This window comes from Homo sapiens, chromosome 6, assembly GCF_000001405.40.
Source record: "Homo sapiens chromosome 6, GRCh38.p14 Primary Assembly".
In the NCBI taxonomy this organism is placed as follows: Eukaryota; Metazoa; Chordata; class Mammalia; order Primates; family Hominidae; genus Homo; species Homo sapiens.
The window spans coordinates 51705576-51720273 of NC_000006.12; the positions used below are offsets into that span (position 1 = coordinate 51705576).

Here is a 14698-nt window from a genome sequence, read left to right on the forward strand (position 1 = left end):
CAATGCCAGCAGCACAGATTGATGACTGTTCCTCTCTGGAAAATGTCTCTCCCATAGGGCCCCATTTCCATCTAAAAGTCCACTAAGATTCATTTAGTTGGACCTTAAAGGCTTTTTACTGACAGCAATTTTCTATTAAAGTGCAAACATCCAGTAACAACTGGAAATGAGGCTAGGATAGATGCTTGAAGTAGAAAGGGGAAGTGATAAAGCAAAAGCCAAAAAATAAAAATTAAAAAAAATCTTTGCCTGCTTCATGGTCATGGGCAGAGAAGGGCAATTGTGATTAATCACAGGTGCTGGCTAGCTGAAGTTATTCTTTATGTCTTATATACAGACAGGCATTATACACAGAGTATCAATTTTTAGAATACAAATTCAATTAAATAAACTTAATACTAATTTGGATGAAAATTAAGTCTATTCGGTGATACAGATAGCATTTACAGATATTAAATGCCCCAGGGTAAAACTTATGGAGATCATTTGTAATTTTCCCTAAATGTATAATCATAGAAGTAAAGGAAGGACTTGGGAAAATCAAAGCCTGATAATGATTACTAGGTGACTTTCCTCTCTCGAAATTTTTTCACAATTGAAACAGCTCATTGATACCGTTGCCTGTTGTGTCTGCTGCTGTCTCCATCCCAATTTCTTTCTTCTGATCATAGGTCCACAGGAACAGTGTTGTTGACTTACATATTGAATGCAGTCATTCACAATTTATGCATCTGCAATCTACATATGGCCCTTTATGCATGTAAGAAACTGAAAATAATGCTTCCAACCTGTCTAAGAGATACTGCAGCCCAAGTAGGCCCTTCCTTTCTGCTACAAATTGAAAATCCTTTCCCCACCCTGTCAAGGATAACTTTATATATATATCATCTCTAATTCTCCCATGGTAAAAAAAAAAAAAGGGTAACATGACTAATGAAAGAGGGAGGTGAAAGAGGGAAAGGAGGAGCAGCAGAAGGAGGAGGAACAAGTGGAAGAGGGGTCAGTAAATGCCAAAACTATTTTCCATCCATTGAATCACTGATACTCCACTTCCATCCCTAAACTCTGTCCCATTTTGTCATCTGTCCATTAACACCTTTTCCCTACAGTCCCATCCCAAGCCAAATTCTTGTAATGAAATGTCTAGAAAAGTGTGAATCTGATTCTCCTCTGAAATATTTTGAATTTTACTTTAATTCTCTGGAAAGCCGACGAAGTACCATTAGCTTTTATATGTGAGGTTGCCTTTCTCTAAAGTTGAGCTCAGACCCTGGCTCTGATGATCTGAGATGTGGCAGTGTTGCTATAAGTTGAACTCTCAAAATTATTGCAAAGGATTTGAGAATTCATATGCTAGCCAAGCATTGTGTAAACTGGAAAAATATTAATTTGATGAATAGATTTCTACACTTTTTCTTTCAAATTTGATTATCTGTGTGGTGATTACTAAAACATGTTCACTTAAAAGAATTGCTGAATATATAAGAATTGCTTTATATCAATGTGTATATTTATAATAATCAATAAATAAGAAATCATTGCTACCATGACAGCCTGATAAGTTTGTTGACATTAAGTATGCTGGGGAGTGATTTCCAAATTAAAAATGTGACACTGTCCCAAGAAAGAATGTTGAACTAAAAATGGTATCTGAAAATAAATCCATCAGCATCTTCACTCATCCTTTCTGCTTTCTTTTGCCTCATTTGATGTTCCTATTCCTGCAAAAGGCCCTCTAGCCTACAGGGTGACTTTTTGCAACTGTGAACAAGGCACCTCCAGTATGATGCATCCCATACCAGGTGAACAGAGTACAGGCTGGCCTCATTGGCAAACTCAATTTCTTCCACCTGTGCTCTGAAACCCACATCCTCCCAATTTATCAAGAAATCTTGCTCCCGTACTTTTACTCTAAGTCTACTGACTTATCCTCATGAATATTAAAACATGTCTAAGACCTCCTGGATCTTAACAGATCCTTTCCCCAACTCCAGCTACCACTCTGTCCTTTTTCCTCCAACCTTTCATACTTGCTAGACTTCTTGGTAAAATGTTTTACTCTCACCATCCCTACGTACTCCCACTTACCCCCAACCCATTCCCGTCTGACTTCCAGCCATGCCACTTCTCTGAAACTGCTTGTATCAAGATTATCAATAAAGTCTATATTATCAGATCCAATAATTTCTTCTCAGGACTCATTTTTTCCCTAGTTGAAGGATTTGATACTGTATCATCCCACCCACCTTGGAATGCTTTTATTCTGTGAATTTGGTGACTCTAAAATTACCCTGTATTCCTCCTATATGTCTGTCTACTCCTTCTCAATATGCTTTGTGAGATCGTCCTTGTCTAGTCATTCCTTCAACATTGGGGGGCTCTTATTCTGCACACATAATTTTATTCTGTCCCTGAGCCTTGGTTACATCTACAGGGTGATCCTCAAATCTTTGACCTGTCATGTAAACTTCAGAACTGCATATTTAATTCCTTAAAGGGCATCACCACTTGGATGACTATCATATACCTCATATTCAATATGTCTAAAACTGAATTCTTCAAATCTGCTTCTCCTGCAGGATTCTCCCAGTACATGGCACCACCAGCCACTCAGTTGTTTAAGGAGCAACCTCAAAGTCATCCCTCCCTCCTCCTCTCTTTTCCTCATCTCTTACCTCTAATCAATCAAGAAGTCCAGCTAATTTCACTTCACAAATCTCACTGGAATCCATGTATTTCTCATGTAATCATCCTCATCATTTGCTGCCTCATTATCTCCTATGTCATTATTCTGTACTGAACTTGCTGATTTATCTCTTGTCCCTATCCAATCTATTCTCTGCAACACAGTCAGAATACTCTTTTAAACATGCAGGTCTAATCATGATATTTCCTCATTTAAAATCCTTTATGAATGTGTTACTGCCCTTAGAATCAAGTCCCAACTCCTTAACATGGGTTATTATATATTCTGGGAACTGAGATTTCATGTTCCAATATCATCTTGGTCCATTCTCCAGCCAGGTTGGACTTCTTTTCATTTGTTAAAGATACAACACAGTCTCTAATCTATGGGCTTTTGCACAGATTGTCCCACCATCTCATGTACTTTTTCCAACAACTCTTTCTATACAATGATAACTTGTCTTTCAAATCTCAACCTCCATATCACTTGCTCCAAGAAGATTTCCCTTCTCTCCTAAATCAAATATTGACAAACTATGACCCATAGGGCCAATTTGCCCATGGCTTGTTATGAAACAGCCCTCAGGCTAAGAATGGTTTTAAACTTCTAAAAGGATATTAAAAGAAAAAGAAGAAAAAGAGAAAAAGAACAGGAGGAGAAAGGGAAGAAAGAGCAGGAGAAGGAGAAATGAAGACCATTTATGGCCCTTCTAGCCCAAAACAGTTGCCTTTAAAAACTAAAATATTTACTATCTGACCCTTTTCAGAAAAGTTTGCTAACTCCTGCCTTAGATCATAAGCATAGGTCCCCCTACTACGTGCTCCCTTGATGCCCTGAACTTTCCTGGTTATCACATTTGTGCTTTGTATTACAATCAGTTTTTTAATGTCTCATTTTCACACTAGACTATGAGCTCTTCAAAGTCAAGCACCATGTTCACCTTTATCACACTACATTCCAAGTATGTTGTACCTGGTAGAGTCTCAGTAAACATTTGTTGAATGAACCAAAATGAAAATGAAAACAAATGACAGCTTCCATATTGCTGGTGTCCACAAAAAGGCCATGGAAACACTTCCAGGGGTGTATGACTAGGACAACCACACATCCCCATGTTTTTCAGGGCAGTGATGATTTATTCTTGTTGTCCCAGCAAAATTATTAACTGTTTTCCCTTTCCCTCTCAAGAGTATCTCACTTCGGAGGAAGTTAGGATACTCGGAAAAAGTTCTTAAGCCCAACCCCTGGGAAGATTTTCTAGAGACCATTGTTGCAGAAATGATAGTGATCTTTGTATCAAAAGACAGCACTCTTTCTATGGGAAAAAGAATCATTGTAACACATACTGTTCAGAATCCAGAAAAATATTAGTAAAATGTGTTTATGGAATATTATGATTGAAATAGACTTTTGTTCACTGACGTAAAGGTTTTCCTATGATTTTTAACATGGTCATTGTGTGAAATACATTGCAAATAACCAACTTTTATAAATCCATCTTGAGTTTGGAACAGTCAATATAATTACATTTAATGAATAAATACACAGTAAGTTTTTTTGTGTGTACCTGACATCTATGCTTTAGTCATTTTTTTTTTTTTTTTACATAACTGACAAAACAGATATTCTAGCTAGTCAATGTGCAGGACTGATTTAAAAGGAATTGGCTGGGCACGGTGGCTCATGCCTGTAATCCCAGCACTTTGGGAGGCCGAGGAGGGCGGATCACCTGAAGTCGGGAGATCAAGACCATCCTAGCCAACATGGTGAAACCCCATCTGTACTAAAAATACAAAAAATTAGCCGGGCATGGTGGCGGCTGCCTGTAATCCCAGCTACTCGGGAAGCTGAGGCGGGAGAATTGCTTGACCCCGGGAGGCAGAGGTTCCCGTGAGCCAAGATGGCACCACTGCACTCCAGCCTGAGCGACAGAGCAAGACTCCATCTCAACCAAAAAAAAATTATTTTCAGATATAGAATTGAATTAAAGTTCAGTTTGGGAATCTTCTGGCTCAACATTCCTATTTTATGGATATAAATATGGATGACAAGAGAGGCAAATATTCCTGCAGTGGATAAGGCTCCTTTGAAATCATCAATAGTCCTGGTTGAACATTTTTCCATAAATGTAAATAAAATTAAACATAAAATATCATATTTATATTGCATTCCTTTTTTTAATGACTTTGAAATCACTTTGGAATCTTCACGTCTCAGATTCACCTAACAGAAATCTATATTGTACTTATTTATACATGAATCTTAGCTATCCAATGGAAGATATGAGTTCTACATCTTTTAATTTCCTTTTCACTTCTCTAAATAGTGTTTTGCCACCACTGTTCTGGGACCCAGGCCAAACTCATTAAACATATATATCTATTACTAATAATATATTATTTGAATATGTGTTGAATATACACTCAATACTCAATATAAAATTTGAATACTTATTGAATATATGCAACATATTAGGCAGTAATCTTATGTAATGTTTTTACTCATCACAAAAACCAAATGAGGTAAGCGCCATCTATAAAAATGAGAAGACTGAGGCTAGGAGCAAATAACTTGCCTAGAGATACACAGCTAGTATGTGCAACAGATGGGATCTCAATTCAGATCTTTCTGAGTTGACTATGAACAACAATACTATCATAACCATTTCCTTAGGAGGCTGTATCAGGTACCTCTTGTGTGCTACTTCAAATCTTCTTGGTCTCATCTTTTACTTTAGCCACTGATGAGGCTCCCAGTTCCATGCAGGAGGAAGCTAACAGTGTCCTGCCTTCTGCCCCAGGCCTCTCTGATGTTACTGCATGAGATGAACCACTTAGCATTCATACGTGTGCAACCAAGAAGTGTTGGTGTTGGGGATACTTTAACCAATCAGAGACAGGAACCTGTCCCTTCTCCTTTTTCCCATGGGCAGTGTTGGGATAAATTTCATAAGGATCCTGAGAAAGCCTCACAAGATCAGTATTTCCTGTAGGCATCCTGAGTTGCCTTCCCTCCTTCTTTGTTTCACTAATGCAGTCCCCCACTCCTGTTCCCTGGAACCATCTCCCAAATAAATAACCTATACGCAAGTCTTTGTCCCAGGCTCTGTTTTCAGTGGCATTCAGGACAAGAAGAAGCCATTTCCCTCACCAGCTGAAATCATCTTGTCTCTATCCCTGAGCTTTATGGAACTAATATGCAGCAGCTAATATATTTTATCTGAAGAGGAAATCCCCTGTCTCCGATGGACCTGACTTCTTCATTTCCTGTGAATAGCAGAGCTATCTGCATCTGTAGGGTCTCAGGACCATGTTGAGAATATTTGTCTACCTCTGCTGGAAGCCCTTCTGATTAGTCAGGCTCCTTGAGTTGGAAACATAAGGATTTATAATGAAAAAGAGTCACACAGTAAAAACAGAAAGAATGAAAAGAAAACAAACCAATAAAGAACCTATCCTATCATAACATTTGAGGTTCTGGTATTTGCTGGCTTTGGAGGGAGTTCAAAATAAATGAAAGAAATGTGTATTTTATTAAATGCTAATATTTAGAAGATGTGGTGGAAAAAAGAAAGATAAATGTTTCCAATCATATTTGCAAATATGAGGCATCTCCTACCCCTTTCACAATGGTTAGGTATTTTCCTTGCATTTGAGCAACCTACATGGTTTTGGAAGTAATGCCTGGAACTAGCCAAAAAAATTGTACTAGGAGTAGCATGTGAATCTAACCAACAGAGATTGCACCACATTATGCTCTCAGCCTAGATCACAGTAAAATAATAAGCTTTATCTAGTCGAGTTGTAGCTGCCACCCAACTTCCTCCACAGAAAGGGCCTATTGCTTCTGACTCCACATAGACCAGTCTATAATAAACTCTATCCTTTCCTTGCAACATCTGCTGTCGTTAACATGATCTCTGTTTGTCTTGAAGTATAAATAGGCCCCAAATTTCAAAAGTTCAGAACACACTGAACCGTAACCACATAGCTTCTTCCTTTTCTTCTTGGTAAGAGCCTTATCCCTCTCTTGGGTTTTGGAATTCATTTTAAAAACAACAATGAAATAAAGTGGAGAGGAAGAAGATTTGGAGGGTCAGAAGTACTCAAGGGGGTCAGAAATGAAGACTTCCCTTTGTTTTTGTTTTTAGTATTTTTGTAATAATACAGGTTGACCATGAATTTAAACCATTTCTTGTATACCCTTTTATCCATACTAAAGTGAGGAGTTTATCATCAATATAAGTCAAAAGAAGAAACTAATTTTAATATTGATTATTTTTATTCAGTACTCAAAGTGGTTTACAAGGTTCAGATATACCATTTGTTTTATTTTGCTTGAACAAAACATTTGTAATTAATGCACTTCTTTCAAAAAGAGAAAACAGGTGATTCTTATCTTTCCTCTGATGTAGGGTATTGATAAAGGGCAAAGCACTGAGGCCTGACAGCCCTGTATTACCAGCCTAGCCCTGCGATCAAGCAAATTGACTTCACATCTCTGAAATTCAACTTACTCCTCTAAAACGTGGATGAAATCAGTAATATTTTCATAGTACTGTTAAAGTAGTAGATGCAATAATGCATGTGAAATGTTTGATATGTGTGTTTAATAAATAATAGATAATGATTTTCCAAAGGCATAATTGGATCTTCCAATGTGACTGACAAAGCTTTATGATCCAGTTATCTAACTAAATCAGATATAGACGGAAATCAGTTTCATATGTATCTCCAGCTGAGAGGTTAAAACAGATAAAATGATTAGAAGAGTATCTAGCAGGTTGTAAACACTTGATAAATGTTAGCTATTCATCACTATCATTATTAATATATCATTAATAATGTATAATTATTCATATTATTGTAATCAGTTTACTGAATGGCCTGGGCTCAGCAGGTGCAAGAGAGGAAATTTAGTCTTTCTAACCAATTCGTATTTAACTCATACTGTCAAATGATTTTTCTTAGATCCTGGATAAAACTCTAAGCAGATGACATAACTTTTTTGAATACTTTCAAATATGAAAAATTCCAGTGCAATCTAATGCAATCTCAAATCCTTTTGAAAATTTCTTCCTTCCCTCAGCCCAAGCCTGCCTCAGGCTGGAAAATCTGTGATGGGGAAAAAAAGTTTGGTTGGCTTTGGATCATTTTCCTTGACTCCTCCTCCTCTACTCACTATGAAGCCTCTGGTTCTCCAGGGTTGAGCATAGGGCCTGGAGTTGAGAGAGGGAAGGGCAATGTAAGACAGAAAAGATCTGCCGTGAGTAAGAACATTGATAATCTAGCTTTGATTTTTGCAGATTTATATCTAGCTTTGATTTTTTGTGAGTTTTGCAGATATCTGAAACTGACTCCTTTTGGAGTCAGGCCCTTCTGCAGGTTCTGCAGAGATTTACACTCAAGATATGCAGCTGCTTGCCTGGCATGGACAATACCTGTTCCTTCTGGCTATTTAAGATTTCTCTGGTAGACTCTAGTGTCCAAGTTCAACCCTGCACTTGAGGTCACCTCACTCCTCTTGTATGGGTCTCTGTTAAAATGAGCCATGATACACTCCCCTAACAGACACATATCTGGTCTACAGTTGGCCAGGTATCTTTGCTCAGAAAGCTGAGCAAAGTGGAACCCTCTTTAGCACAACTAGTCTCTCACCTGTAGACTCTTCTTCTTCAGGAATTGCATCAGACAATTCCTGTCTATCTGTAAACTCCTTAGTGGTGCTTTAAAGAAAAATTCATTGGTGTGAGATATGAGGGCAAGCACTATGCTCTTCCTCATCATAGAAGAGATGAAGAATTCATAACACATTGAGAAAAAAAAATTGGCCAGGAACAGTGGCTCAGGCCTGTAATCCCAGCACTTTGGGAGGCCGAGGTGGGCGAATCACGAGATCAGGAGTTCGAGACCAGCCTGGCCAATATAGTGAAACCCCATCTCTATGAAAAATACAAAAATTAGCCAGGTGTGGTGGCACACGCCAGTAGTTCCACCTACTCGGGAGGCTGAGGCAGGAGAGTTGCTTGAACCCAGGAGGCGAAGGTTGCAGTGAGCTGAGATCGTGCCATTGCACTCTAGCCTGGGTGACAGAGTGAGACTCCATTTCAAAAAAAAAAAATTGTCTACAGATGATTCTCATAACAGTCCTCTTCTACCTTCCAATGAACACTCACCTTTCTTACATACCATGGAAGTGCATGACGGGCCAGATGAGCAGAAGCCACACTAAGTTTTAACCACTTCCTTTGCAAGATCATTATAAGTGGTCTTAGTTTACACTGTCCAACACAGTAGCCACTTACCGTATATGGCTATGTAAATTTAAATTTTAATAAAAATAAAATAAATGATTCAGTTCCTCGATCTCATTAGTCCTATTTCACATGCTCAATACCTACCTGTGGCTAGCAGGCTACCATATTGGATAGAACCAATATAGAACGTTCCATCACTGTAAAAAGATACACAGGCAGAGCCAGAACTCTGGAACCTCACTTCAGAAGGTGAATGTTTTGTTATCTATTTTTTTGTTCCCAGATCTTCTCAGATCTTGGGCCCTCTGTTGAAGTTTCAATACCAGAGGAAAAAAATCACATTTACCAATCTGTTACATAGTAAGTAAAGTTTTAGCATCTGAGTTCTGGCTAGGAATATGTCTGAACACATGAATACAAGACCATTTTCACAATTATTTCCAATATTTTATTGGAATTTTCACAAATTCCAATAAAATATTGGAAATAATTAATTAGAATTATTAAGATTGAGCCTTAAGTCTAAAAAAAGTCCACTCCGGCAGAGTAACCATCTCCATCCTTCCTAACCCCATGACGGAACACAGAAGAGCCTCTACCAAAGCTAGTCTCCTTTATACTTGTGGTCTTTCCTAGTTTAGGAATTGTCTCTCTTTTTTTTCTGAAAGCAACTTCCAAAACTAGGCAGAACAGTTATTATCATGCCCATTTTTCCAATGAGGAAATGGACTCAGGGAGCATAAATGAACTTGCCCAAGTTTACAGAGCCAGTAACTGGGAAAGTCAGGTATTCCCAACTCCCCTCCTTCATTATGCTTCTTCCTGAAAAGCAGGAAAAATTCAAAATATAAATTCCTTCTAACATGCAGAGAAAGCAGGAATTCAAAATTGAACCACTGTCAAAGGCCACCGCAATTTTGATTTATCACTCATGTATATTCTTCCAGATACCTAGTATGCCTAGAATTAAAATTAAAGGCTATTTTATTAGCAAAGTATTGAGAACAACCTGGTCTGATGAAGACCATGAAACACACACTAGAGCCTTTCCATGTCCCTGAACAAAATTGGGAAATGGGTTTTGGTCTTTTTGAGCACATTTCTGCTTTGTCTTTTTGTATCTTCATGTCATTTACTCAACAACATTAACAGAGTCAGTGCCCACCACTTGGGAGGACATGGGAAGAAATGTAGCACCTACTAGAAAGAGACATTTAAACACAGATTAGGGTGAGGAATGTCACCGACACTGATACTCATCTACACAGAGGAGCTGTTTGTTCATGTTTTTGTAACCAGGCTTAACAAAGAAGAAAAATAAGAAGAAATGCATAGGAATGAGAAACAGCAAATTCAAGACAGTTATATCTGAGAAAGGACAGGGAAGGAAATTCAAATGGAGTCCGGAAGCCCAGAGTCCAGAAGTCCAAACTGTCTTCAGAAGTTGGGAAAGTTTTACTTCTAGAGATGGATACTGGCTATGTGGGTGTTCATTATACTATTAAAAAGTGGAATTCTTCAAAATCAATTTTAAAAAAATTTAAAAAGTTACTAAAGGCACATTTGCTAAAACAGATTATTTCTGCAGTTCTTTTGGTCTCATTTGTTGAAAGAAAATTGTACTTGTAGTGTTTGAAGTATTTTTGTATAATAAGGCCAAGAGAAGACCAAAAGCTAGAATGTTCTGTGAATAAGGCTGGCTTTGCCTAGATGTACTAATAAAAGAGAGATGTGAAATTAAAATAATATTCATTTAGCTTAACCCCAGCCTTCATATGAGTCATTAGCACACTCTTGATCTAGGTGGAGGAGCTAAGGGGACATAAATCAATTATCTGAAAATATTACAAAAGCATTATCAACTTTAAAAAGCTTTCAAAATTGTAAATACACAAATGTAATACAATGGTTTAGGTTCATTAATAGGCAGAGGCACCAAGAAGGGGTGCCCATTCTCACTTCAGGGTCACAAAAGGCTTCATAGAGTCCCTCCCTTAGTGGGCCTTAAGTGCTGATTAGAGTCCTGCGTGTTGTGTAGCCACTGCTTGGCTGCCCCACATGTCTTTGCTCCCCTTTCTTCTGGTTATGGATCCTGACCTCTGGCCACAAGAGTATATGTATAACTGAGTTCCAGCCAGTCATATTCCCTTATTCCATTGGACTCAGGGATTGGTCCTGAAGTGGGTGTAACAGCCAAAGAGAATTTATCAGTATTTCCCTGGGCCTGATATATAGACATCAGGAGAAAAAAATTCTTTGTCACCTGAGATGACTAAACTGGGTTTACTGAGGCAGTACCATCACCCCCCTCCAACCACATGTAGGATAAGCCCTTTGACAGCAGAAGGAAATAAGGCCAAGAGTCATAAGGAGCAGAGGCAAGCAGAAAAGAAAAAGAGAGAGGGCAAATAGCATTGAACCCTTGACACTAATCCTGGTAGTCCAAGGCCATGGTTCTTCCAGCTCCTTCTTCAACTGTGTTAGGTGTTGCACTATCCTTCCCAGAGGCACAAGCCAAATACTTATGTGTTGCTTAAGGTTCTTAGAGTTGTGACTCTCTTCCTTGTCCTGATTAATGCAGTCACTAACTACATTACGACATTCCAGTCAACAATGGACTCCAATGGCTCACGCCTGTAATCCCAACATTTTGGGAGGCCAAGGCAGGCGGATCACTTGAGGTCAAGAGTTCGAGAACAGCCTGGCCAACATGGCAAAACCCTGTCTTTACTAAAAAAACAAAAATTAGCTGGGCATGGTGGTGTGTGCCTGTAATCCCAGCTACTCAGGAGGCTGAGGGAGAAGGATTTCTTGAACCCAGGAGGCAGAGATTGCAGTGAGCTGAGATCATGCCACTGCATTCCAGTCTGGGGGTCGAGAGCAAAACTCTGTCTCAAAAAAAAAAAAAATGGACTGCATATATGATGATGGTCCCAAAAGATTAAAATACTGTAATTTTATAATACTATATTTACTGTGTTCTATGTTTAGATAAACAAATATCATTGTGTTATAGTTGCCTACAGTATTCAGTACAGTAATATGCTGTGGTGCAGGTTTGTAACCCAGGAGCAATAGCTATGCCATATAGCCCAGGTTTGGAGCAGGCTGCACCATCTAGGTTTGCCTAAGTACACTGTATGATGCTAACACAATGATTAAATAATCTAATGACACACTCCTCAGAACATATCACCATTGTTAAGCAACATATGACTGTATTTTGAGTAAGCAATCCGTCAATAGGCAGGGAAAGGAAGGAGACACTGGGAAGAGAGTGGAAGGGACACAGGCATGAAGGTATGAAATAGTGTTAGAGAAGAAGGTAGCCTGAGTTCAAAAAGATGGATCTCTTAAAAAATAAAGCCAGTGACGTAGGCAAAGGCCAAGCCAAGAAGACCTTGTTTTGCCTTGACCCTCATCACAAGTATCTTCCACTTGAGTCTCATTTCCAAAAGGCCTTTCTCTCAACACAGTATTCCAGCATAGACACCTTTGGCTAAGGAAGCCTTGCTAAATGGTTTTATTCTAATGGTTAACAACTTTTGCTTCATCTCAGATCACTGACATTTTCATAATGGTCTGCTCAAGACAAAACAATTTTTTAATATACGTAATGGATCAATCTTTTCTGTTGGAACTTAAGGCCTGAGGGCAGGTGAGCTGATTAGACATTGCAGGGGAAAAAGCACTTCCCTTATCCCTTCAAATCATGCCCTGTGGACCACGGTTTACTAGGCCTACAAGCCAGTCTTACTTTCTCTCTCTGACTGCTCTTTCACTGTGTCCAATTTGCCACATTATCCCAATGAGGGGTGGCGTTCTCCTGTGTCCTAGAAACCTTAAGCACACTTATTCTATCATGATTATTTCTCCTGGGAAAAGAAAATGTGGAAAATGTGTCTTACGTTTCAACTAAATCACAAAATACTGTCACAGCCTATAAATGTGAGTTGTCACTATTGCGTAGGAGGTATAATTTCTAAAGGGTACATAGAAATATTTAGAATTCCTTTTCATTGTATCTACTTCAAGTTTAAGCAATCAGGATATTACTGATGAGATCTGAAGTTGGGCACAGAGAGATTATACCACTATACTATGTCACATTCATTAAATAACTTGTACTATTTGTTATCTGATCTATAGATAAATAGAGATGGTCTCAATGAAAGTGATTTATGATATTTCCAGTTTCTTTCACATAAAATGGAATAACTATAAATGGAGATATAATCAAATAAAAAAGCATGGAAATGACATTTAAATTTGATAATGCAATTTGATGTGATCATATGTGCAAGTATACTGCATCAAGACAAAAGGAAATACCAGAGCAATCATCATGCGTTCAGAGTTTATTTCACATTTATGTTGTAAGAAATTATCATTTAAGTACCTATAATATGGCACAGGGGTTATATATTTTTGTACTTAAACTGTTTTGATATTTCATGGCTTTATTTAATTCAGAATATAGTCCACACAGGCTTGGGAACAACATCCTAGCTGGCTAGGATGTCTGGATACTAATATATTAACATGACAGCTTCATGAAAATATACAAGAAACAGCCAATTTTAAGTGCATATATAAATATATTTAGTTTGAATATCAACTATTAAAGCTTCTAAAACAAGCAGTGTAGTATAATAAAGAGTGTGCCAAATTAAGAGTTAGATCATGTTTAAGACAATTTTTTTTTTCTTGAGACAGGGTCTCACTCTGTTGCTCAGGCTAGAGTGCAGTGGCACAATCACGGCTCACTGCAGCCTTGACCTCCTGGGCTCCAGCAATCCTCTCACCTCAGGTAGGCAATCCTTCTTATGGTCAAAAAGGAAATCACTTAGTACAGGGTTTCTCACCCTTGCCTATTGACATTTTGTACTGGATGATTATCGGTTGAAAGGTGCTATACTGTGCATTGTAGGATGTTTTACAGCCTTCCTGGTCTCTACCCACTACATGCCAGTAGCACCCCTCCAGTTGGGACAAACAAAAATGTCATCAAATACTGCCAAACTTCCCCTGGCAGCAAAATTAATCATTGACAGCCTCTCCCCACATTGAGAAACACTGACTTGGAGAGGTTTTATGAGACCCCAAATGTGTTACTGTTTTTATAAGTTGTAAATTATCTTACAAATATGTTATCTCTTTATACAATGACTAATTTTCCAATCTATAATTTGACAAATTATATTATATATTGTACAATAAATGGCACTGCTTTCTAATAGCAAAAACTTTATTATGCTGTTGGCAAAATTTATAAACAAAGCAAGGTCTGGCAGCTCTTCAAAAACAGGATCATTCTTTATTCACATTTTTTTAGCCCCAGCACCTAATACATTTCCTGACATATATGCCATGTCTCCATAAATCTTTTGTGAATGAAAAAGAAAGTCTTAAAAGAGATTTTACTATGCATATTTTTAAGAATGCTTTAACTTTAATAGGTACCAATGAATTACACATAGTTGGCAGTCTAACCACTAAAAAAGCTTTCAGATGTGTGTGCATGGAGGCAGGGTAAAGGGGGCACATTGCAAAATGGCAAAAAATATCCTAAATCAATTCTATTATCCATTATGCTTTTCTATCTTGTGTGAAATATTTTCAAAATTTCAGAAAATTAACAAAATCTTCACTGCTACCAGAGTAATCAACATCACCACCATGGATCACTGAGATAGAACTGCTAATTCAGCTCTCTCTTACCCACTCTTGCAAACCTTCCAGAGTTTTAAAAATGA

The 14698-nt window shown here is 38.1% G+C and overlaps 1 protein-coding gene across 16 annotated transcripts in view; it reads right to left on the bottom strand.

Moving 5' to 3' along the window:
- PKHD1 (PKHD1 ciliary IPT domain containing fibrocystin/polyductin) overlaps window positions 1–14698 on the bottom strand; it is a 472317-nt gene that overhangs the window by 90277 nt on the left and 367342 nt on the right. The window lies entirely within an intron of this gene.